This window comes from Homo sapiens, chromosome 4 (assembly GCF_000001405.40).
Source record: "Homo sapiens chromosome 4, GRCh38.p14 Primary Assembly".
Taxonomy (NCBI): domain Eukaryota; kingdom Metazoa; phylum Chordata; class Mammalia; order Primates; family Hominidae; genus Homo; species Homo sapiens.
Window position 1 is genome coordinate 102,681,665 of NC_000004.12, and position 27,456 is coordinate 102,709,120.

At 39.0% G+C, this 27,456-nt stretch overlaps 1 protein-coding gene across 4 annotated transcripts in view, besides 1 other annotated feature; it reads right to left on the reverse strand.

The window, feature by feature from the left end:
* MANBA (mannosidase beta) overlaps nt 1-27,456 on the reverse strand; it is a 130,199-nt gene that overhangs the window by 50,895 nt on the left and 51,848 nt on the right. For all 4 annotated transcript variants that reach the window (NM_005908.4, XM_047415692.1, XM_047415693.1 and 1 more), the window contains 2 exons: nt 8,932-9,107; nt 7,910-8,020 (listed from right to left, as the gene is read on the reverse strand). In NM_005908.4, coding sequence (NP_005899.3) covers nt 7,910-8,020; nt 8,932-9,107 — 287 coding nt within the window. The remainder of the gene's footprint in view (nt 1-7,909; nt 8,021-8,931; nt 9,108-27,456) is intronic.
* Nucleotides 6,046-6,095: an enhancer, noted in NCBI's record as "active region_21755". NCBI's record gives its function as "activates an Ori minimal core promoter by ATAC-STARR-seq in GM12878 lymphoblastoid cells {active_cell/tissue: GM12878}" and the evidence as "EXISTENCE:reporter gene assay evidence [ECO:0000049][PMID:35858748]".

A 27,456-nucleotide genomic window follows, 5' to 3' on the forward strand; every position in this document is an offset into this window, starting at 1 on the left:
AATCACTGTGCTATTGTTGTTTATTTCTAATCTGCAATGCTTTTAAATGCAGGCATGTATAGGGCAGGGAATGGAAGCACAAACTGTGTTCAAAACAAGCTCATACAATTCCAAACTGTTATAAATTTGCTTTCAAAATGACTGTATGAAGCTGAATCTTCATGTATCCGGGAATGACTGTATAACTAAGAGTACTCCAGGCCAGGTGCAGTGGCTCACGCCTGTAATCCTAGCACTTTGGGAGGCAGAAGCGGGTGGATCACCTGAGGTCGGGAGTTTGAGACTAGCCTGACCAACATGGAGAAACCCCCATCTCTACTAAAAATACAAAAATTAGCCGGGCATGGTGGTGCGTGCCTGCAATCCCAGCTACTCAGGAGGCTGAGGCAGAATAATCGCTTGAACCTGGGAGGCAGAAGTTGCAGTGAGCCGAGATCACGCCATTGCACTCCAGCCTAGGTAACAAAAGACAACTCTGTCTCAAAAAAAAAAAAAAAAAAAGTACTCCAAATTAACTTTCATGTAGAATATAATGTCTATTACAGGACTGGTAATAAAAATGTGCCAAATCTAAGCATACATGTATATTATTAACATTCAAGAGTAACCAAACACATAGTTAAAACTTAGACCAACATATGATTGGTGGAGGGGGAGGGTAGGAGAAGTATTCTATCACTGGCATTATTTATTAATAGGATTGCCAGTATATAGTAATAATGAAAAACAGGCCAATCTATAGTCTACACACAATTCACCCACTTACTGTCTGCACCTAGGGCTAACTGCTCCCAAGGCCCACCTGGAGAAGTCACTGCCTATAGCCATCTTGGAAATATTTAATAAAACTTCTGACAAGAATAAGGCCAAAAGGACAGTGTACTGGGTTGAACAGTGTCCCCCCAAAATTCATGTCCACCCAAAAATACAACCTTATTTGGAAATAAAGTCTTCGCAAATATATTTAGTTTAGTTAAAATGAGGTCATACTGGGCCCTAACCCAATGGCTGGTGTAGTTATAAGAAAAGGAAACAAGAGACACACACAAGGAGAAAGCTATATGATGGTGGAGACAGAGATCAGAGTGATGCATCTACAAGCCAAGGATTGCCAGCAATGATGAGAAACTGGAAGGGGCAAGGAAGAATTCTTTCCCAGAGCCTTCGGAAGGAACACAGCTCTGCCGACACCTTGATTTTGGACTCCAGCCTCCAAGACTGTGAGAAAATAAATTTTAAGATACTCAGTTTATAGTAATTTGTAATAATAGACCTAGAAACCTAATACAGAAGGAGACACACTTCATAATCTCTGTGCCCTCTCAATACAAAAATACACCTTGATTATTCCTAATTCCATATCTTTGGCTATGTACTTTTAAGGTCTTTAGAGAGCCAAGAGTAGCACTTAGAAAAAATTCCACTAGTATTATGTTGGTTTTTTGCCCTGTGCAATTTGCAAAGATGAAGACAGGAATTTAAGAAACAAAGAACAAAGTGACATTAAAAAAGAAAAAAAAAAACTGAAAAAGAAAAAAAAATCCCAATTGTTTTTCTAATTGTAGTAGCCATGGACAATCATTCACCTCCTCTGGCTTGGGAACTATGAAACACAAGTTTTAATTGATTGTAGAGTACTTATTATTACATCTATTTTCCTACAATAATTTAATTGGAGAATCTTGATCCCAGGAGCAAACGTACACAGCAACAGCCTTCTGCTGCTTTTAGCAAAACGATACCTTATACATAGAATACTTGAGAAATTCTTATAAAATAAATTAGGTGTAAGAGAAATATCAACTAATTGGTTTCCTGTTTTTCCATAAAGGCAAGCCATAATAAGCATTCAAAAATATGTATTAGTTCATTAAAACACGTTACCTAGTCAATTCAGTACAATCAATTAGTAGGATAAAAACACTCAGTTAACCTGGGCAGAAAATGGCAAAAACTGATTGGTCAGATTTTTTATTCCATTTACCCAGAGTATCCTCTACCATTCCCACTTATACACAAAACTTTTTCTTTTGTTAAAAAATCAATTTGGTTTCCCAAACTGATAAAGCTAACTCTCCCAGACTCACATTCTAAGGTCCCTCAGGCAATGATTTATTTGGCAGAATTTATGATATCCCAACATTTATTTTTTATTTTGTTATTTATTAATGTTTAAATTGCCTGTTGATATTTTCCCTATATTACCTCCCTTCTTGCTTAAACCATTTGCCCCAATGTCACTCAACATAAGAAAATTCTCAGTCATCAAGATATTCTGCCATGTTCACAAAGAAATGTAGTCGGCCCTTTCCTCTCTCTCAAGTGTCTGCATTCTTTTCATGATTCCATACATTTCTGCTGTATGGGCTGCATTCAAAATCTGTAACTTCCCCAGGACCTTTTGTCTGAGTCAGATATGCTGCTGTCTCCTGATATACTCAGTTAAAAAAAAAAAAAATCCTAAACACGTTTCTAAGCTCAGTGGAAGAGGAGAGGCATGAAACAAAGATATAAAACTGAAGCAAGATGGATTTCAATGAGGTATATTTAAAACAGAATTATTTTTGCATAAAGCAAGCCCAGGGTAACAATAAACAAGAGCAATAGAGGTGAAATAAGGAGGGGCTGGTGATGAGAAAACAGTGTTCAATGTCCTGTCTGACACAGTACCAAGTGCTGGCGAGCATGAGGAGCCTAGGCAAGTCTCATATAACCACTTTGGATGGCAGTTTAGCATAATCTACAAAGCTGAACTCATGCATCCTCCATAATCATGCCATTCCACTCCCAGCAGACATGCCGTTGGGGGCATATGTGCTCCGAGTGTTATATCAGTAATGTTCACAGCAGCATTACTTGGAATAGCCAAAACTGGCAACTACTCAAATTGCAACAGCAAAATGTGTAGTATAATAAAATTTTATACAACTTAAATAGACAAACTTACAGTTACACAGAACAATAAACAGCAGTCCCCCCTTATCTGCAGGGGATACGCTCCAAGACCCCCAGTAGGTGCCTGAAACTGCAGATAGTACCGAACCCCATATATACTATGACTTTTTCTGTCTGATAAAGGAGAAGGCTGCTGAGTGACTAACAGGTGGATAATGTATACAGCAAGGATATGCTCAACAAAGCGATGATTCATGTCCTGGACAAGACAGGGCAGGACAGCACGAGATGCCATCATGCTACACAGAACAGTGAGCAATTTAAAACTCATGAATTGCTTATTTCTGGAGTTTTCCATTTACTATTTTCAGACCACAGTTGACCATGGGTAACTGAAACCACAGATAAGGAGGCACTACTGTACCTAAATGTCAAAAACATAATGCTGAGCCAAATTAGCCACACACTAAAAAATACATGCTATATGGTTCCATGTACATAAAATTCAAAAAGAGACAAAAGTAACCTAGTGATGGATGTCAGGATAGTGGATCTTCGGGAAGGAAACAGGGGTCATTACTGGGGAGGCTCGCAGAAGGGAGGGGAGAGTTTGAGGTGTGAAGTGCTAGTAATTAATGTTCTGTTTCTTGAACATGTTGACAGTTACCTGAGTGTTCATTTTCTCATAATTCATTAAGCTTTTCACTTATGGCTTGTGTATTTTTCTGTATGTGTCATATTTCACAATAAATAAAAAATAAAATGTTGTTTGACCAAAACTCCCTAGCTTTCTTTCTCAGGCTTACTTTTTCACCCTAAAACTCCACTGACAAAAGTGTTTGCCAGTCTTATAGAAAGAAAATATACTTTAAATGGTCCTAGAGACCTTCAAAATTACCTCCATCCTCAAGCTGCATCCTTTCCTCCCATGTGTTATCTTTCACCACTATTACAACGAAAACAGAGCCCCCCATCCCAAAGTGAATCCATCCTCTTCTTATCTCCTACCTCCCAGAGACCTTGCCCTCTCAACTACCTCCCTGCTTTCTAACTCTTTTTAGTCTTTCCCTCGCTACTGGCCCCTTTCCATCAGGATTTTGCTGTTGCTTTCCATTCTCTTAATGGTATCCTTTTCTATGTTGAAATCATTGCAAACTTGTAATAAAGTTCCAACAATAATACAAAGAACTCCTATATATAATACAAAGAATCCAGAGACCCCCCCATTCAAGTTTTCATCAGTTGCCCCAATAACATTATGACAAAAAAGATCACTGCACTGCACCCAGTTCGTACATAGTCTCTTCCACTGTAGGACAGTTCCTCAATCTTTCCTTGACATTTTTGAAGATTATAGTAGATTGAAGACTGAAGACTGAAGACTGAAGGCCCTTGTGTCCTTTCAATGTGTCACATTATTATTGAGTACCTCCTTACTTCCTGGAACAGCAAGATATTTCAGGCTCCAGCTCGAGAATCAGTCATTTCTCCAAAGAGCCCTGATTGCTTTCAGCACAGAGTGGTATTCCAAATCAACATATGGGTCCTAAATCTACTCACTGCTACTAGAGAGCCACTCTTCCCAGGCGCTCTGAGAAAGGATTAGGAAATGTGTGAAAAGAACTAGGAAATGTGTGTGTGTGTGTGTGTGTCTACCCACACATACACATGCATTTACAAAGACATTTATTTCTCTGTCTACACATACTGAAAATCATAACTTCATACTATTAGCTCCAATTTGAATCCACTGTAGCTTTCCCCCCTTCTATGTTGATACCACCTTTCTCCATTCATGAAAAGGCTGGCTTCCACCACTTCAATATATTTACTTATTTGTTCAGTTGCCTATGTGAAGCCAATCTGATCCCAACTGGCCACCATTACCACCTGGTCTAAGCATAGTTTCCAATCAGACGCTTTCAGAAGAGTTGCCTATATTCACCGTCTTTACTTCCATACCTTGAGTCATTCCTCAACCCACTACAATTTGATTTCCATGCTGATCAAGGTGACCAGTAATCTCCTTGCCACCAAATCTAAAGAATCTTTCTCAATTCTTTTCTAACTTGAACTCCCTTGCAGCATTCAACACTCTGAACATTCTTTGCTTCTTAAAACACTCTTTCCCTCTGGTTTCTGTGACTCCCCACTCAAATTGGTTTTCCCTCCACCTCGTCAACCATTCCTTCTTAGATTCTTCTACTGGCTTCTCCCCAAACCCCAACCTTACTAATTATGACTGCCTGGGGTTCTGTCCTAGCTCTTTTCTCTGTGCCATCCCTGAGGTATTTCATCCGCTACCATGGCTACAATTATCTACATTCTGCTAACTTACACATCTATATCCTTAACCCACATGCAATCCCTAAGCTTAAGATCTATCTAATGAAACACCTATCAAATATTATTCCTTGGGTGTCTCTCAATCACCCCACACAAAACACATCTAACACTGAAATAATTTCCACCCAACCCCTTCCCCCAAACCTTCTCTTCTTTCTGAGTAATGTAACTCAATGAACAGAGTTGCCCTGCCTGTTCAGAGGCTGCCTGTTCAGCAGCCCAAACCAGCAGCTGAGGAACCATTCCTAACTCCTTCTTTTTTCCCACCCCCACATCATCAAGCCTGCTGAGGTTATATCCTAAATCTCTTTCAGATTTATTTCCTCAGCAGTTCTGTAGACCAACCAATCCTCATTTTTTGTCTGAATCACCACCACAGTCTTCTAACTGGTCCCCTACTCTTGCCATCCTTCCAATCTGATCTACACAATCTTTGTAAAATATGCATATAATCCTTACCCCCTCCTTAAAATCCTTCCAAGAATCCTGGCAGCACTCAGGACAGTGCTTCTTCCTTCACGTGGCTCACTAGGCCCTGCAGGACTTTGTCCTAGCTACTTTTACAACACCATCTCTTGTTCTTCAACTTCAAACTCAACCACAACTGCATTGAAATTTCTTTCACTTCTGCAAACACACAACATCCTTTCTAGTCCTTGGGCCTTCACGTTCTTTTCCCTCCGCCTCTTTGCTACATTACTTGGCCAAATTCTACTTATCCCTCAGGACACAGGCTCTGGGAATCTTCCCAGAATGCCCCTGCTCTGCACTTCCATGGCACTCTCTACATCTCTAGAGTGCTAATATATTCCAATGGCTCATTTAATGATTGAACTTCCCAATCAGATCATTAGTTCTACTAAGGTCTCAGAGAGAAACAGAAACAGTGTCTTAGTCACAGCTCTATCACCAGCACCTAGCAAAATAGCCAAAACACAGTAGGTGTGCCCTAAGTATTTACTGAATGAATCAGCCTCAAAAAATAGCAACTCTACGGCAGCCACAGCCAAAGAGCACATTTCACACACATGCATTAACTCAAGGTGTGGGGCAGTTAAACATCCTCCTTAAAGCAAACTCCTGTTGCTGCTCGATTCAAAGGCTGGCATCTTTATGTGTAATGAACAATAATACAGTCATATTAGCCTGAATGTAAAAGAATTATTTCCCTTAGAAAAAGACAGAAGTTCCTCTTCTTTCTCTGTAGTAAGTTGGAATGACTCATTATTTTTTACATTTTCATGAAAACAACACACAACAAACTCACTGTGTGAGACAGCACACATCCTCTCAGCCAAGAGGGGTACGACAAGAGTGAATGCTTTGGCCCTTAAGACGGGTCCAGGATGTTCTCCCTGTACATAACTCTGTGCATGTGTGCGTGCGCGCGCACACACACACACACACACACAAACACACATACACTCTCTTCCCCTCTCACACACACATACACACTCTTTCTCTCTCTCCCCTCCCCCCTTACACACACACACACACACACACACACACACATTCACAGTGTCTCAGAAAATACACAGCATGATTGAACAAAAGAAAAACAGAAAATGCACTCCTGAAGGACATATCTCCATCCTTAGCATGTTGTCTGGCCCACAGGAGAGGAAATACCAAATGTAAGAGGTGACACCAGCCAACTGTAAACACCGAAGCTGGTGTCTGGGAGAGGAGGAGATCTTTGAAGAGGGTTAATACCATTTCTACTAACTATATGCCATGACTCTTATAAGCCAGATCCAAGCCATCTCGTTCTTATTGTCCCTATTTTACATATTTTGAGATTAAGTAAGTAGCCTATAGCTAATAAATAACAAAGTGCAGTTCTTTCCAATTCCTAGTGCTATATCCTAAAATGGGTAAAACTGAAAAATCAGAAAACACCAGTAGAAGCACCTTATTCAGAAAAATGAAGAAGAATGTCAGAGGAAATAAATAAAAGTTAAAAATGGTTGGTTCTGGGGAGTAGGAAGTAAGAATAGGAAGTGATGGGCAAGAGGTCTTATTTTTCATATAAACTTACTAGTAATATTTGAGTTTTAAAATTACACATGTATTATTTTGATATAAGGTACAATTTTAAATCATAGCAGGAGACTACTTATTGACAAAATAATATCTAAAGTATGATCCATTTAAAAATATAAGGCCGGGCGCAGTGGCTCACGCCCGTAATCCCAGCACTCTGGGAGGCCAAGGCAGTAGATCACTTGATATCAGGAATTCAAGACCTGCCTGGTCAACATGGTGAAACCCCATCTCTACTAAAAATACAAAAGTTAGCTGGGCGTGGTGGCGGGTGCCTGTAATCCCATCTACTTGGGAGGCTGAGGCAGGAGAATTGCTTGAACCCAGGAGGTGGAGGTTGCAGTGAGCCAAGATTGCACCATTGCACTCCAGCCTGAGTGACAGAGCAAGACTCTGTCTCAAAAAAAAAAAATATATATATATATATATATGTGTGTGTGTATATATATGTATGTATATATACACACACAGAGAGAGAAGCTTTTGAATGCTGTTACTAAAGATGATCTCTGATGGGTGGGGACACAAGAGTTTTGACGGTTTCTTCTTTTCCCATGAAGATCTGTATTACTATTTTTAAAAGAAATAAAATTATTTCACAAAATATTTTAAATTACTTACTTACCTTAGCTGATTTTTCAATATTTAAGCCTCCATCCAGTTCAAAAAGAACAGTCATGTTGTACCCAGTCTGGTTTCCATGTCCATGAGGCCACCAAGTTTCTACAGTAATATTCTTTTAAGAAAATTTAAAAGTCACTCTAATATGTCATATTTTCAGCAAAAAAGGCTCAAAGCATTACATCAATTTCTCAAATAGTCAAGTACAAAACTCTAGGTTCTAAAACAATGTAAGTCTCCCCACCTATATTATGCCCAATCAGACCAATTCATTGATAATATTTAAAAATCAGCATGCTGGGAATCTAGCATGGATCAATACATCAAAAGCAAAAGGAAAGAACAGAATAACATGAGTGTTCAGAAAAACAACTCTCCCTATCCCTAACACCGAGCTTACATTTATTCCACATTCTTAACACTTAAAATGGGACTCTGAAGTTGACTCTTCTTTCAAGCCAAAAACTAAAAATCATTTTGAGTTCTTACTTTATCTCAACAGCTACTGAATGTTATTTTGCTCCACCTTTTTCAGTACACAATTATCAATTAGAGGAATAGAAAAAAGAAAAAGAAAAGATAAAAATAATCCGTTCTACCTTGATATATGAAAGATCATGAGTTTAGAATTAAAATTGTGCATGTAGAATAAGTATCAATAATCAAAATAATTGACAAGTATCAAAAATAACCACTGCTATTTAAATATAATCCATAGAATGTATTTTGGCTTTAGGATACTACAAATACTACAGAAAATTAAAATACAATGATAAAAATAAAATGAGAGAAAGAATTGCCAAATTAATAATATATTCTCTATTTTCTTAATCTTAAAGTTTGGGAAAATCATTCTTTAGCTCATACTCACAGAAAATATATGAGAGACTAAAATAGAGAAGAAAATGACAAATATAAGCAGAGAAAGTAGAATTTTCTTTCATACTTAGTCCCTCCTTTCTAATCATTTCTTTAGCACAGGTATTGCTTTTCATCCAGTGCTTCTCAGGAAGTACCATCATTTACCTTGCTAATGTTCACAAATAGCTCAACAATCCTTTTCCCAGGTTGAAGTTCAATGCTGTATGTCTGTTGTGTTTGCAACTTAGGGATGGCTACGATCACTTGACCACCAACTGGCTTTGAGCTGACAACATCAAATGTAGACTCTATTTCCAGATTCCACTCCTGGGCACTCTTATCTAAAATATAAAAAGAAAAAGAAATATATATATATATATATAATATGCTAAGCATTATCACTGCATTTCTCAGGATTCATTGAAGGTAAGACTAAAGCAGCTTCAAACCCAGTATGTGCTCCACAATGCTGTCATAATCAAAACTTCGTGGAAATTTTCTTTTAATCTTCAGTTTAATCCTTCATTCTGAAGAAGAATAACAAAAATGGTATATTTTACATAGACTTCCACTCTAAAAATGTTATGATTGTAAGTCATAAAAACTTTATGGAGCATAAACAGAAAATGACAAATGGAAAGATAAAATAAATTTTCCAAGAATAATACACATTTGTTCCTTTTTAATTAAGTAAAAATACTTTATAAAGTAAAAAGTAATAGTATTTTACTTTATAATGTAAATGGGTTTTAAAGTTATGTAATAAGGTATAAATTTATATGTATTAAAATTAATCAAATGTGAAAAAATAAAGTTATACTTTAAATGTAGATAATTTATCCAATAAATATTTCCTGAGGACTTTCTATGTGCCATATACTCTGCTAAGTGATGGGAATTAAATGGTGACCAGGATAAACATGGCCCCTACTCTCATGAACTAAAAGTCTATAGACAAATTCAAAAGCATAATAATATCAGGACAGGAGAAATAAAAGGTTGTCCTGAGAAATAAAAACAGGACATCAGAAAGCACAGCTAATACAGAGAGGGTGAAGGAAGGCTTTCTCTCTTTTCTTTTTCCTTTTTTTTTTTTTTTTTGACACAGGTTCTCACTCTGTTGCCCCGGGAGTCACACAATCATAGCTCACTGTAGCTTTGAACTCCTGGGCTCAAGCAATCCTCCTGCCTCAGCCTTCTGAGCAGCTGGCACTATAGGCATGTGCCACTCACCTAGCTAATTTTCTTTTTACTTTTTGTAAAGATGAGGTCTCACTTTGTTGTCCAGGTTAGTCTTGAACTCCTGGCCTCAAGCAATCCTCCAGCCTCTACCTCCCAAAGCACTGGGATTATAGGCATGAGCCACCATGCCTGGCCAAGGAATGCTTTCATTAGAAAGTGGTATCTAGCTGAGACCAGAAGGATGCCTCAGCTAAGTACAGAGGAAGATGATAAGGATTCTGGGCACAGAGAAGCATGTGAAGGCCCATGAGTGAGACAGCAATGCCATAACAAGGAAAACAAGGAACTTGGGCAATAACAAAATTGATGAGGGGGTCAGCATAATTGAAAAGTTGAGCACGGTCCAAATGACACTGGGTCTTTTCGAACAGGTAAGGAGTCTGGCAATTTCACCCCAGATCAATGCGGAGTCATTGAAGATTTTTCATCAAAGAGCATGACCAGATCTGCATTTTATAAGAATTGCTAAAGGTCCCAGCACAGTGATATACAAGGATGAATATGAAAGAAGCAGAAAGATATAAAATCTCTCTGTGTACAAAAAGCCCCAGAAAATGCCACTTGGAAAAGCCAGGAACAGAGAGGAGGCAAAGAAGAGTGTTGATCAGAAAGAAGAGAAAACAAGACCGAAGAGGAGAATTATAGGGAAAGAAGAAAGATGAGGGATGAACTTTGGGTGCAGAGTTTGGGGTTGTCAGAATGTTTCGAAGAGGTTTTGAAGTAGAGTTTTATATACGCGCAGTATGACTCTGTCCTCCATTTCCTGTCAAATTTATATTGTTTGTATAATGTCTCCGGGTTTGGTTTTGTGTTTAGTTTTTATTTTTAAACAAGATAGAGCACTGGGACAGACTTGGGACAAGAGCTGGGTGGAAAAACAGACCGTTTTTTAAAGTTACGCAGAAGAAACTGGTCATGAGATCTCAAAAAAGCTTGGAGGTACAGGGGGTTAGAGTCAGCAAAAAAAGTTCTCATTCTTTGCTGCCACAGAAAGAAAGGAGAAGAGCAGTGACTGTGCAGAGGCATTTAAGTTTCTATGATTCGTGGCAAAGTATGGAGGGAGTTCCTATTTAGTGGCTTCTATTTTTCTCCAAAGGAAGGGGAGGGGGAAGGCTACTAGCTGAGAAGTATCTTAGAGACCTTTCTCCTACAAATAAAGAAGAGATTAATAATCATGGCTTTGCTGCAAAAGAAAAAAAAAAAAGCTAGGTTTCTATGCTGATCAATGACAAAAGACGTTATAACCGGCACTGTTTACAACTGTAGGAGCACACCAGGCCTGTTCTAAAGATGACCCCAGCACAGTTTATCATTCGCATCTCCCATCAGCCAAAAGCATAGATTTGATGCACATTGAAGTAAAATTAATCCTGGACTTAAGAACTATTTTTGTTTATTAAGTGATTTATTCTGAGAAATACTAGTCGATGAGCTCTGAGTTAGGTTTGTTCTGATCCAGTTAATTTTGCAGGTTACTTACCGATAGCCTCCAGGTTTTGAATCTATCAGCTGGTAGATCACCTAGTCTGCTCGCTCACCAGTGTTTAATTTCCTCTATTCAATAGGTTGTCAAACTATGGTCTTTGGGACAAATCTAGCCCACCTCTTGTTTTTATAAATAAACTTTTATTGGAACACAGATGTTATGGACTAAATGGTGGACTCTTCCCCTAAAATTCTTATGTTGAAGCCCTAACCTCCAGCTTTTTATGAAGTAATAAGGGTGGGGCAGTAATCTGTTAGGATTGCAGCCTTATAAGAAGAGGAAGAAACAGATATCCGTCTCTCTCTCTACTATGTGAGGACATAGCAAGAAGGCATCTGTCTGCAAGCCAGGAAACGAGCCCTCACTGGAAACCAAATGGGCCAACACCTTTATCTCGGACTTCCCAGCTGCCAGAACTACGAGAAATAAACTTCTGTTATTTAAGCCACTCTGCCTATGGTATTTTCTTAGGGCAGCCAGAGCAGACTAACTTAATAGTCATGCTCATTTGTTTACTTATTGTCTTTGGTTACCTTTGCAATACAACAGTAGAGTTGAGTAGTTGTGACAGATGCCTAAACTATTTTACTATGTGATCCTTAAGAGAAAAAGTTTGCTAATCCCTGCCCTAGAATATTACCCCCAAAAAAGGCCATTCCAACCTTTCTTTAAATATCTCTAATGACAAAAAAACCTCTGCCTCACAAAATAGCCTTCCCATTTTTGCCAGGCTTGGCTATTGTAAAGACTCCCTTTACACTGAATTTGAAATATACTTCTCCTTAATATCCAACTAAAGATTTTAGCTCTGTCCTTTGAGCACCTCCTACCAACGAAGCAGGCTCCTGTGTTGTTTTCTGTTACTTCTTCTTTAGTAGGAGAATCAGCTGTTAGTGACAGCCTCTGACAGGAAAACAAATAATGCAATCCTCAAAGGTCATCGGCAAAATTCCCCAGTTTCTCTTGCTTTGAACTTGGAAGGTTCTCGAGCAAGTCCGCACTCCTCCAGAGCATCACCCGTTAACACCCCTGGGAACTACTAAATGAAAAAACTAAGGTTGTAGAATTAAAAACACAGTATGAAGATCTACAAGCCTACAAAGTTATCACCAGATATACTTAATAACATATTTTTCCCCTCTCCTCTTCTTTCAAATAGAGTAAACCCCTTCCTTCCAGTAGCACATGGAAAAGTAGGTAATTTAGGTTCACAAGGCGCAAAGTCTTAAATAACCAGTAGTTTTCCTGATGTTCTTTGGTCACTCCTTTTCACTTGCTAAATTAAATTTATAAATTGCATAATCCTATTTGTAGTTAAGAAGAACTCCATCTTATAAATTAAGCCCCATTTCTAGAATACAGCTTCCTATCATCTCTCTCCTAGCATTAATAAGTCACCATGTCTTGAAGAACACTTATCATCACCAGCTCTCCTGAAGTAAAATGCAAGATCACTTCAAAAATGGATGAAGTACTGGGGGTGAGGGCAGGAAAGAAGGATTGCTACATCTTCTAGAATCCCCTACAGAGCTCATCCTTCCAATCACACCACCAAGTTCTGCATCCTCTCTTCACTTTGACTAAACAACTCAGCACAAAGAGGACAGGAATTCTTTATCAAAACAGGTGCAAAGGCAATGCTGGCCTGCCCTCTCCACAATTCAAGGCCTTGAGGCCCTCCCTGGCCTGAAGGCTTATTGGTGTCCTCGCTGATGTCCTAAGCCCAAGCAGAAGAGATTATGTTCTACAGTTTGTTCATATAACCTCAATCAGGAAGGCAACCCAGAGGATGGTAGAGAATGTGGTTCTGGCCACTAATTCGCTTTAAGGTTTTCCCAGAGATGACTCAGTGAGTGTTCTTTAAAAAAAGAAAAAAACAAAGAGCACAATGTGTCTGACCTGGATGGGAATTTGTAGAAAGGTAAACAGCTACATAGCCTAGATTAATGTATACTGCTCCTTCGTTCAGAGTATCACAAGACAACTCTAGCTCATGTAGATGTGTCCAGTACATCAGCCTTCAAAATCTTCTCAAATACGCCAGCTTCCTCTTATATTCTCATACAGTCTACTCCTTTATTAAGATGTAGTTGGAGGGGGGACAAAAAGCCAAAAAAAAAGAAAAAAAGCTTTATTCAATTGTCTAGGAGAAAAAGGTATAAGGAGAGATATAGAAAGTAGAAAAATAAGAGGACTCAGTTACATTACTTCAAGTTTGTCAAAAAGTAACAGGAAGACATACTCCCAAACTATACACTGAACCTTGCTTTAATTGATTGTAATAAAGACTCAAGTATCAATGTTTTCATCTAGTCATGTGATGTCTAGTTTCAAGAAAAACTGGGTTGTTCCATACTTATACCCTCATTGGGTGGTAATGACTATTCTAACTTACAAACAAAGGAAAAGAACCACAAAATGTTCGAGGTAGAAGAAACTTGGAGATGTTCTCATCACTTTGCAGATGTTTCTGAGGCCCTGACTGCAGCACTTCCCTCTTGAGCCAGTGGACAGGCCAAGGGTCCAGGTTTCCTAACTCTGGTGCTCTCGACTTTCCATGAGCCTCTCGCAGCGATGCCTACCAAAAGGAATGACACTCACAGGTACACAACGATTGACATTTGTATATGAATAATGAGGAAAAGCAAAAGCAAAGGTACTTTTTGCCTTTCAGAGTCCTAAAGCCAAATGTCGAATATATTCAATGTAAAACAAAGCATTCTGGGGGCACTGTAATAATAAAATGTTAGCCTAAGAGGGTCTCTGTAAAAAAAGAATACTGAAATGGGCAGGGTGTAGTGGCTCGTGCCTATAGTCCCAGCACTTTGGTAGGCTGAGGCAGGAGGATCTCTTGAGCCCAGGTGTTTGAGACCAGCCTGGGCTACATAATGAGACCCCATCTCTAAAAATAATTTTAAAATTAGCTGGGTGTGGTGGCACGCCTGTGGTCCCAGCTACTTCAGTGGCTGAGATGAGAGGATCGCTTGAGCCCAGGAGGTCAAGGCTAATGTGAGCTGAGATTGCTCCACTACACTCCAGCCTGTGCAACAGCATGAGACTTTGTCTCAAAGTAAAAAAAGAAAGGACACTGAAATCTACAAACATAGAGAATATGTCTGACCCTCTGCTAAACGTGTATTTATATGATGCCACAGTTCCTGTACTTATCAAAATACTGTCTTTGTAACCTAAACTAGCTGAAAAGGCACTAAAATAGTTATGTGAGCATTTGTGTCAAGCAAATGAAATCTATTTCTTGAATAACTACTGTCTGTAAAACCTTGACAGGCATTATAAATTATATCCCAATCCAAAAAGGCAAATATGTTGTCTCTAACTCTCTGAACATATTTAGAAAGATAAAATATACCCAAGTGTCGCAGTTAAGAATACAGGATGGCATCAGGAACCATAAGGACTAGCAGGGCAGTGAAAGTTCAGAGGCAGGGCACATTCAAGTCAGCAAGGGATGAATCTGCAAACACTGGTAGATGAAAAAGATGCTTCATCTCACTGGGGGGAAAACCTATTCAAAGATAGCTGCCTGGATTAGCTTTGCCCTGCTGAGCTCCTCACAGCTCCCCCTTTTGCAGGCTCTCTTCTTCCTCCATCTTTAATAGAGTATGAAAAGCTGCAGGGAAAGGTAGTTATGTGCATTTAAAGAAACAGCAATGACACCAAATGAAATGAACAAGCCATGGAATTTATAAATTCAAACATTAGATATTTTCCGGTACTCCTGCCAGAATCATGGGACAGACTTAAGCAGCTGCTTTTCAAAGAGCTAACCATTGCGTTAGCCAAAAATGTTGGCCCACAGTTAGTTAAAACAGCTGTTTTCCCTCTTCTTCACCAAGCAGCAAGATCTCCTTACCTACTCAGCAGTACAAAATCCTTGAAACTGAAATCAAGGCAAAAGAGACGCAAGGCAAAATGTTTCCTAGAACAAGGATAAGTTAGTAAGCTCCAAAGAAGAAAATTTACTCAAGCAATGAGGAGACTAATCACAGGAAAAATTATTCAAGCAACCTACCCTCTCTATGGGTATTTCAAGCAAAATACCCATAAAGTTATTTTCAAGGATTATTTTATGGAAAAAATAATTTAAAGATGAATGAAAAATTGATTCCAAATGAATGCATTAAAAAATGCATGCTTATCAAATAAGCAAGACTGACAAATCTTTATTTTATTTTATTTTTTTATTATTATTATACTTTAAGTTTTAGGGTACATGTGCACAATGTGCAGGTTAGTTACATATGTATACATGTGCCATGCTGGTGCGCTGCACCCACTAAACTTGTCATCTATCATTAGGTATATCTCCCAATGCTATCCCTCCCCCCTCCCCCCACCCCACAACAGTCCCCAGAGTGTGATGTTCCCCTTCCTGTGTCCATGTGTTCTCATTGTTCAATTCCCACCTATGAGTGAGAATATGCGGTGTTTGGTTTTTTGTTCTTGCGATAGTTTACTGAGAATGATGATTTCCAATTTCATCCATGTCCCTACAAAGGACATGAACTCATCATTTTTTATGGCTGCATAGTATTCCATGGTGTATATGTGCCACATTTTCTTAATCCAGTCTATCATTGTTGGACATTTGGGTTGGTTCCAAGTCTTTGCTATTGTGAATAGTGCCACAATAAACATACCTGTGCATGTGTCTTTAGAGCAGCATGATTTATAGTCCTTTGGATATATACCCTGTAATGGGATGGCTGGGTCAAATGGTATTTCTAGTTCTAGATCCCTGAGGAATCGCCACACTGACTTCCACAATGGTTGAACTAGTTTACAGTCCCACCAACAGTGTAAAAGTGTTCCTATTTCTCCACAACCTCTCCAGCACCTGTTGTTTCCTGACTTTTTAATGATTGCCATTCTAACTGGTGTGAGATGGTATCTCATTGTGGTTTTGATTTGCATTTCTCTGATGGCCAGTGATGATGAGCATTTTTTCATGTTTTTTGGCTGCATAAATGACTTCTTTTGAGAAGTGTCTGTTCATGTCCTTTGCCCACTTTTTGATGGGGTTGTTTGTCTTTTTCTTGTAAATTTGTTTGAGTTCATTGTAGATTCTGGATATTAGCCCTTTGTCAGACGAGTAGGTTGTGAAAATTTTCTCCCATTTTGTGGGTTGCCTGTTCACTCTGATGGTAGTTTCTTTTGCTGTGCAGAAGCTCTTTAGTTTAATTAGATCCCATTTGTCAATTTTGGCTTTTGTTGCCATTGCTTTTGGTGTTTTAGACATGAAGTCCTTGCCCATGCCTATGTCCTGAATGGTAATGCCTAGGTTTTCTTCTAGGGTTTTTATGGTTTTAGGTCTAACGTTTAAGTCTTTAATCCATCTTGAATTGATTTTTGTATAAGGTGTAAGGAAGGGATCCAGTTTCAGCTTTCTACATATGGCTAGCCAGTTTTCCCAGCACCATTTATTGAATAGGGAATCCTTTCCCCATTGCTTGTTTTTCTCAGGTTTGTCAAAGATCAGATAGTTGTAGATATACAGCGTTATTTCTGAGGGCTCTATTCTGTTCCCTTGATCTATATCTCTGTTTTGGTACCAGTACCATGCTGTTTTGGTTACTGTAGCCTTGTAGTATAGTTTGAAGTCAGGTAGTGTGATGCCTCCAGCTTTGTTCTTTTGGCTTAGGATTGACTTGGCGATGTGGGCTCTTTTTTGGTTCCATATGAACTTTAAAGTAGTTTTTTCCAATTCTGTGAGGAAAGTCATTGGTAGCTTGATGGGGATGGCATTGAATCTATAAATTACCTTGGGCAGTATGGCCATTTTCACAATATTGATTCTTCCTACCCATGAGTATGGAATGTTCTTCCATTTGTTTGTATCCTCTTTTATTTCATTGAGCAGTGGTTTGTAGTTCTCCTTGAAGAGGTCCTTCACGTCCCTTGTAAGGTGGATTCCTAGGTATTTTATTCTCTTTGAAGCAATTGTGAATGGGAGTTCACTCATGATTTGGCCCTCTGTTTGTCTGTTATTGGTGTATAAGAATGCTTGTGATTTATATACATTGATTTTGTATCCTGAGACTTTGCTGACGTTGCTTATCAGCTTAAGGAGATTTTGGGCTGAGACAATGGGGTTTTCTAGATATACAATCATGTCGTCTGCAAACAGGGACAATTTGACTTCCTCTTTTCCTAATTGAATACCCTTTATTTCCTTCTCCTGCCTAATTGCCCTGGCCAGAACTTCCAACACTATGTTGAATAGGAATGGTGAGAGATGGCATCCCTGTCTTGTGCCAGTTTTCAAAGGGAATGCTTCCAGTTTTTGCCCATTCAGTATGATATTGGCTGTGGGTTTGTCATAGATAGCTCTTATTATTTTGAGATACGTCCCATCAATACCTAATTTATTGAGAGTTTTTAGCATGAAGGGTTGTTGAATTTTGTCAAAGGCCTTTTCTGCATCTATAGAGATAATCATGTGGTTTTTGTCTTTGGTTCTGTTTATATGATGTATTACATTGATTGATTTGCATATATTGAACCAGCCTTGCATCCCAGGGATGAAGCCCACTTGATCATGGTGGATAAGCTTTTTGATGTGCTGCTGGATCCGGTTTGCCAGTATTTTATTGAGGATTTTTGCATCAATGTTCATGAAGGATATGGGTCTAAAATTCTCTTTTTTGGTTGTGTCTCTGCCCAGCTTTGGTATCAGGATGATGCTGGCCTCATAAAATGAGTTAGGGAGGATTCCCTCTTTTTCTATTGATTGGAATAGTTTCAGAAGGAATGGTACCAGTTCCTCCTTGTACCTCTGGTAGAATTCAGCTGTAAATCCATCTGGTCCTGGACTCTTTTTGGTTGGTAAGCTATTGATTATTGCCACAATTTCAGATCCTGTTATTGGTCTATTCAGAGATTCAACTTCTTCCTGGTTTAGTCTTGGGAGAGTGTATGTGTCGAGGAATTTATCCATTTCTTCTAGATTTTCTAGTTTATTTGCGTAGAGGTGTTTGTAGTATTCTCTGATGGTAGTTTGTATTTCTGTGGGATCGGTGGTGATATCCCCTTTATCATTTTTTATTGCATCTATTTGATTCTTCTCTCTTTTTTTCTTTATTAGTCTTGCTAACGGTCTATCAATTTTGTTGATCCTTTCAAAAAACCAGCTCCTGGATTCATTAATTTTTTGAAGGGTTTTTTGTGTCTCTATTTCCTTCAGTTCTGCTCTGATTTTAGTTATTTCTTGCCTTCTGCTAGCTTTCGAATGTGTTTGCTCTTGCTTTTCTAATTCTTTTAATTGTGATGTTAGGGTGTCAATTTTGGATCTTTCCTGCTTTCTCTTGTGGGCATTTAGTGCTATAAATTTCCCTCTACACACTGCTTTGAATGTGTCCCAGAGATTCTGGTATGTTGTGTCTTTGTTCTCGTTGGTTTCAAAAAACATCTTTATTTCTGCCTTCATTTCGTTATGTACCCAGTAGTCATTCTGGAGCAGGTTGTTCAGTTTCCATGTAGTTGAGCGGTTTTGAGTGAGTTTCTTAATTCTGAGTTCTAGTTTGATTGCGCTGTGGTCTGAGAGATAGTTTGTTATAATTTATGTTCTTCTACATTTGCTGAGGAGTGCTTTACTTCCAACTATGTGGTCAATTTTGGAATAGGTGTGATGTGGTGCTGAAAAAAATGTATATTCTGTTGATATAGGGTAGAGAGTTCTGTAGATGTCTATTAGGTCCGCTTGGTGCAGAGCTGAGTTCAATTCCTGGGTATCCTTGTTAACTTTCTGTCTCGTTGATCTGTCTAATGTTGACAGTGGGGTGTTAAAGTCTCCCATTATTAATGTGTGGGAGTCTAAGTCTCTTTGTAGGTCACTCAGGACTTGCTTTATGAATCTGGGTGCTCCTGTATTGGGTGCATATATATTTAGGATAGTTAGCTCTTCTTGTGGAATTTATCCCTTTACCATTATGTAATGGCCTTCTTTGTCTCTTTTGATCTTTGTTGGTTTAAAGTCTGTTTTATCAGAGACTAGGATTGCAACCCCTGCCTTTTTTTGTTTTCCATTTGCTTGGTAGATCTTCCTCCATCCTTTTATTTTGAGCCTATGTGTGTCTCTGCATGGGAGATGGGTTTCCTGAATACAGCACACTGATGGGTCTTGACTCTTTATCCAATTTGCCAGTCTGTGTCTTTTAATTGGAGCATTTAGTCCATTTACATTTAAAGTTAATATTGTTATGTGTGAATCTGATCCTGTCATTATGATGTTAGCTGGTTATTTTGCTCGTTAGTTGATGCAGTTTCTTCCTAGTCTCCATGGTCTTTACATTTTGGCATGATTTTGTAGCAGCTGGTACCGGTTGTTCCTTTCCATGTTGAGTGCTTCCTTCAGGAGCTCTTTTAGGGCAGGCCTGGTGGTGACAAAATCTCTCAGCATTTGCTTGTCTGTAAAGGATTTTATTTCTCCTACACTTATGAAGCTTAGTTTGGCTGGATATGAAATTCTGGGTTGAAAATTCTTTTCTTTAAGAATGTTGAATATTGGCCCCCACTCTCTTCTGGCTTGTAGAGTTTCTGCTGAGAGATCCGCTGTTAGTCTGATGGGCTTCCCTTTGTGGGTAACCTGACCTTTCTCTCTGGCTGCCCTTAACATTTTTTCCTTCATTTCAACTTTGGTGAATCTGACAATTATGTGTCTTGGAGTTGCTCTTCTCGAGGAGTATCTTTGTGGCGTTCTCTGTATTTCCTGAATCTGAATGTTGGCCTGCCTTGCTAGATTGGCAAAGTTCTCCTGGATAATATCCTGCAGAGTGTTTTCCAACTTGGTTCCATTCTCCCCGTCACTTTCAGGTACACCAGTCAGACGTAGATTTGGTCTTTTCACATAGTCCCATATTTCTTGGAGGCTTTGTTCGTTTCTTTTTATTCTTTTTTCTCTAAACTTCCCTTCTCGCTTCATTTCATTCATTTCATCTTCCATCACTGATACCCTTTCTTCCAGTTGATCGCATCGGCTCCTGAGGCTTCTGCATTCTTCACGTAGTTCTCGAGCCTTGGTTTTCAGCTCCATCAGCTCCTTTAAGCACTTCTCTGTATTGGTTATTCTAGTTATACATTCGTCTAAATTCTTTTCAAAGTTTTTAACTTCTTTGCCTTTGGTTTGAATTTCCTCCTGTAGCTCGTAGTTTGATCGCCTGAAGCCTTCTTCTCTCAACTTGTCAAAGTCATTCTCCGTCCAGCTTTGTTCCATTACTGGTGAGGAGCTGCGTTCCTTTGGAGGAGGAGAGGTGCTCTGCTTTTTAGAGTTTCCAGTTTTTCTGCTCTGTTTTTTCCCAATCTTTGCGGTTTTATCTACTTTTGGTCTTTGATGATGGTGATGTACAGATGGGTTTTTGGTGTGGATGTCCTTTCTGTTTGTTAGTTTTCCTTCTAACAGACAGGACCCTCAGCTGCAGGTCTGTTGGAGTTTGCTAGAGGTCCACTCCAGACCCTGTAGAAACCACTATTTTTAAGGACTAAGAATACAGAAAAGAAACATAGATATATACATATATATAAGTAAATGAATTCACAAGAATTTCACGTTAATTTTTAAATGTTTAATAGCCTTCTTTCTGTCATACACAAGTTAGGGAACTATGGTTGGTCCTTTGATCTTCAGGAGTAAACTCACTAATTTTAAGTCAAGATATAAATTGAACACTTGAAAAAGCACAAAGATGACAGTATCTCTTTCTAGCCTCAACAGGGGGAAGGCAGAAAGTGTCCCATAGACAAATTAGTTTAGGCTTTCATATCAAGTTAGCTGAAGTTACTAGACTAAATTAGTTTGTTTTAATAACTACTTTATCCACTTACTGCATATACATATATATAACAGATGCCCAATATAGAAATTTAGAAAAGACAGTTACACAGAAGAATAAAATGCAAACCATTTTTAACACTACTACAGAGATAGCTACTGTTTGCATTAGTTGTTGTTTGTTTACTTGTTTGTTTGTTTTTGAGACAGGGTCTTGCTTTGTCACCCAGGCCAGAATACAGTGGAATAATCATAGCTCGCTGCAGCCTTGACCTCCCAGGCTCAAGTAATCCTCCTGAAACTGCCTTTGCAAAGTTATAACTGAGGAAATTATGACAATGAAAGAAATCAGACCTAATCTACTCCATCTTGCTTGTAACATTTAAGCTGTTCTTATTCATTCCTGGCAGTAGGCTGAACTAACTTTGGGAAGGAATTCAGTTCATGGTTTGACTCTGAAACAAAATGGATAGCAGCCCTTTCCCGAAAAGACCCCTTCTTGCCTGGGGACGAGTCTGCCTTTGCAGGACTAACAAATTAGCTACAAGATTAGAAATTACAGTTTAGGGGTCATGCAACCTCTGGCTCCAAGAGTCTGAACCTCCCCAAATTGCTCCTGGGGATAACATCACTATTGTAAAACCTAGATCAGTGCTTGAGATATTCTGCAGACCCTGCACTGGATGGATCAGCTGACACCACCCAGACTGGTAATCTGGCTCAACCAGTTCTGCCATCCCACTCAGGAAAGAAGACAGCAAGAAAACCTTACTTCGTTCCCCCTATGATTCCATCTCCAACCTGATCAATCAGCACTCCCCACTTTGCAAGCCCCTACCCACCAGATTATCTTTAAAAACTCTGATCCCACCCAGCATGGTGGCTCACGCCTGTAATCCCAGCACTCTGGGAGGCTGAGGCGGGTGGATCACAAGGTCAGGAGATCAAGACCATCCCCACTAACACAGTGAAACCCCATCTCTACCAAAAATACAAAAAATAAGCCAGGCGTGGTGTCGAACACCTGTAGTACCAGCTACTCGGGAGGCTAAGGCAGGAGAATCACTTGAACCTGGGAGGTGGAGGTTGCAGTGAGCCAAGATCGCGCCACTGCACTCCAGCCTGGGTAACAGAGCAAAACTCTATCTCGAAAAAAAAAAACCAAAAAATTTGATCCCAAATGCTGAACGTCTGGGGAGACTGATTTGAGTAATAATAAAACTCTGGTTTCTCACACAGCCAGCTCTGCCTGAATTACTCTTTCTCCGTTGCAATTCCCCTGTCTTGATAAATCAGCTCTGTCTAGGCAGCAGGCAAGGTGAATTTATTGGGCGGTTATAATCCCACCTCAGCCTCCGAATACTTGGGACTACAGGCATATACCACCACACATGGCTAATTTTTTTTATTTTTTGTAGAGACAATGTCTGCTCAGGCTGGTTCAAACTTCTGGCCTCAAGTGATCCTTTGAACTTGGTCTCCCAAAGCGCTAAAGATTACAAGCATGAGCCACCACGCCCAGCCTTGCATTAGTTTTGACCCACCTCATTTCACACTTAAATTTTAAAAATGAATACATTTTATTTTAAATAAAAATTATATGTACCTTTTTTTATTATGAACTAAGCTTTTTTAAAAATTTTCAGTAACTCTCACAGTGCCTGCCTCATAGTATATACCAAATAAATACATAAAAGTATCCAGACCACATTAGCTTATTCTTTTATTATTTTTCAATGTTTAAACGTCTATTGATATCAGTGATAACTGCTGTCTTCCAGATAAAAATTGAAAAAAAAAATTCTGGAGAAACTCCTAAAGGTAGAACTCTTTTAATGCTCTCATGAGCTTACACTCTAATTTTATTACATCAAACAACCAAATTGATAACTATAAAATTAATTAGAAATATAGGAATTACTGCTTAACATGCACAAAGCACATCTTCTTAACAGGAAACATATATTTCTCTATGTTAAGTACAAAATATATTACTGTCATAATATTTCAAAAATGAGGGAGGAGCTTCAAGATGGCTGACTAGCGGCATCTGGTATTTGCCACCTCCACAAAGAAGAACCCCTTCAGATAGATCACCTATCAAAAAACACTGAAATTCAACAGAGAAGTGACAGAAAACACCTAAGGTAAGGAAGGAGAGAAAAGGAAGGAACCCTGCTTAGCAGGGACCAGCTGAAAGCCTGGAGAGGCTCCCCAATGCTGGGAGAAGGTAAGTGAGTGGCCTCCAGTGGTCTACATTCCCATTATGGACTCCTGCAATCCTAGCCATGAGAGAGCACCTCCACCCTCGCAGCCCCCAGGACTAGTATAGGGAGCTACAAGATATGCAATGGCATTGCTCCAGAGAGGGAGCTCCTAAGCGGTTAAAGCAAGGCACCATTTTGAGAGTCTAGCCCCGAATGGACTGCAGGCTGACTTTGGGCTTAATAGCCCCTACATCTCCACATTCCTGGAGACTTACTGACATCCCCAAGTGTAGCCAGGCACTGCTGCTGGCTGCTGCCACCAATGCTGAAGCAACTCCACCCCCTCAGGAGCAGGGCTGCTGCACATTTCAAAACACCCTGTGGAAGGGCTACCCTGCTTATCTCCACTACCTGGAGCGAAAGTGCATGCTCTCCAGTCACCTATAGCTACTGCCACTGAAAGCAACCCCATCCTCCCCAGGAGCAGGGCAGCAGCACAGTCACTACTGCCCCCACCCAAGCATTCCACCAGTGGTCTGGATATCATCCTATGCCTGCCTACCACAGCCAGCTCCCACATGCACCACTAGAGGGGTCTGAGGACAGGCCTGCCCTGGCTCTACACTCCCACTCAGTGCCTGAGCAAATGGTCTGGAAGCCTGGGGATGACCCTGCCCCATCCACCACTGTTGGTACCTCAGCACTCCTCCCAGGAGCCTGAGGACAGGCCCACTAAACCTGCAGCTACTACCACAGCTAACATCTGCCTGCATGTGCCACCTACGGGCCTGGGGACTAGTGTGCCCAGCCTGTTGCAGCCACTGTCAACACCAATGCAGACTTCTTGGAAACCAGAGGATTGTCCTGCCACTGCTACTGCCATTTCCCATGCCATACCTGCTGTCCAGGGGCCTGAAGACCCAGCCATCCAGACCAGTGGTCTACCACTGCCACTGCCAGCACCCAAGCAGGCCAGTCACCTGGAGGCCCAAGATTCATCATGCTTGGACTCACTAACACCAGTGCCAGCATATACTGCACTGAAGCCCAAGGACAGGCACACTCAGCCTGCTGCTGCCACCAGTGAAGTCCAAGGACTGGCCTTCTTGATGACCCCATCCCCAGCAAAACTTCACTACAGCCTCCACTAACAACTATACCCTAAGCCACTGAGGAAATCACAAACACCACTGATGCTGTTTACAGCTGAAGAAATCAAACAGAAACTATACTATTGCAAGCACTCAAAATCAAAGCAAAAGTGCCCTACCCAAACAATACCACAGATACATCTTCAGGAAAAATTCCTCCCCTATAAAAGAGAATTCAAAAAAATTAGAAGAAGTGGTTGTTATACCAGATGCGTGGATATAAACATGAGGACACAAGAAACATGCAAAAGCAAGGAAATATGACACTTTCAAAGGAACACAATAATTATCCAACAACAGATTCCAATAAAATGTATGAAATCCCATATAAAGAATTCAAAATAAGGAAATTAAAGACATTCATTGAGATGCAAGATAACTCAGAAAAAAAAAGAAATCAGAAAAACAATTCAAAGTATCAATAAGAAATTTACAAAACAGACAGATATAATAAAAAAGAACCAAACATAAATTCTGGAACTGAAGAATCTAGTTATTCAACAATAATTAGAGAAAGCAGAAGAAAGAATTTCAGAACTTGAGGACAGATTTTTGGAAGTAAACCAGTCAAACAAAACTTTTTTAAAAGAATAAAAAAGATTGACAAAAGACTACATGACATATGGAATACCATAAAGTGACTAAATATTCTAATTTTCAGTGTGCCAGAAAGCAAACAGAAAATTACAAAGAGAGAAAACCTATTTAACAAAATAATAGCTGAAAACTTCCCAAGTCTGGCAAGAGATTTAATATCTAGATAAAAAAATCTCAGAGATTCCCAAACAGATCCATTCAATAAGGCCTTCTCCATGGCACATTACAGTCAAACTGTCAAAAGTCAAAGACAAAGAGAGAATTCTAAAATCAGCAAGAGAAAAGCACCTAGTTACTTATAAGGAAACCCTCATCACACTAACAGCAGATCAGATTTTTCAGCAAAAACGTCACAGGCCAGGAAAAAATGGAATGATATATTCAAAGTGTTGAAAGAGAACAGCTCCCAGCCAAGGATGCCATACCCAGCAAATTTATCCTTCATAAATAAAGGACAAATCATCTTTCTAAGACAAGCAAAAGCTGAGGGAATTCATCACCACTAGACCAGACCTACAAGAAATGGTTAAGGGAGTTCTACATATGGAAGCAAAAGGACAATATCTACCATCATGAAGATACATAAAAGCATAAAACCACTGGTTGAGTAAACACAAATGAGGATCATAAAGGACCCAAATGTTAACACTACAGAAAAACACCAAACCACAGTGATAAACAATAATAGAAACAAAAAAAGGTATACAAAACAACCAGAAGTCAATTAATAAAATGACAGGAATAAGCCCTCATATATCAATAATAACCTTGAGGGTAAATGAATTAAACTTTCCACTTAAAAGATATAAATTGACTGACAGGATTTTTTAAAAACATGACCAAACTATATGCTGCCTACAAGTAGCTCAACTCACCCCTAAAGACATACATGGACTGAAAGTAAAGGAATGGAAAAATATATTCCATGCAAATGGAAATAAAAATGAGCAGGCATAGCTATATCAACATCAAATAAAACAAAGTTTAAGTCAAAAAACAGTAAAAACAGACAAAAAAGGTCACTATATCATGATAAAATGATCAAATCCACAAGAGAATATAATAATTCTACATATATCTGCACCCAACTTGGAGAACCCAGATTCATGAAGCAAATATTACCAAATCTAAAGACAGATAGATTCCAATACAATAATAGTGGGGGATTTCAACATCTTACTCTCAGCATTACACAGATCATCTAGACAAAAAATTAACAAAGAAACACTGTATTTAAGCTGTACTTTAGACCAAATGAAACTAATACACATTTAAAAAATATATTATAGCTACAAAATGCACATTCTTCTCATTAGCACATAGCATATTCTCAAGAATAGATAATATGTTAGGCAAAAAAATGACTCAACAAGTTTTTAAAAATTAAAATCATATCAAGTATCTTTTCAGACCACAACGGAATAAAACTAGAAATCAATAACAAGAGGAACTTTGAAACCTGCACAAGCACATGGAAATTAAACAACATGCTCTGAAATGACAATTGGGTCAAGAAAGAAATTAAGGAGGTAATAAAAAAAGTCTTGAAACAGATAAAAATTGAAGCACAACATATTAAAACCTATGGAATACAGCAAAAGCAGTGCTAAGAGGGAAGTTTATAGCAACAGATACTTACATCCAAAAAGTAGAAAGATTTCAAATAAACAACCTAACAATGCTCCTCAAGGAACTAGAAAAACAAGAACAAACTCAATCCAAAATTAGAAGAAGAAAAGTGATAATAATGATCAGAGCAGAACTCAATGAAATAGAGACAAAAAAAACAGCAAAGGATCAATGAAATGAAAAGTTTGTTTTTTGAAAACAAGATTGATAAACCCCTATGTAGACTAATCAAGGAGAAGACCCAAATAAACAAAATCAGAAAGTTGTACTTTAGACCAAATGAACCTAATACACGTTTACAAAATATACTAATATTTTGTATATTATTATATACAAAATATATATATGAGAAATGAGAAAGGATACATTACAACTGATACTACAGAAACACAACAGATCACCAGAGACTATTATGAACGACTATACGCTAACAAACTGAAAAACATAGAGAAAATAGGTAAATTCCTGGACACATACAACCTGCCAATACTGACTGACAAAAAAATAGAGGCCAGGCGCAGTGGCTCATGTAATTCCAACACTTTGGGAGGCCAAGGCAGGAGGATTGCTTGAGAACAGGAGTTGGAAACC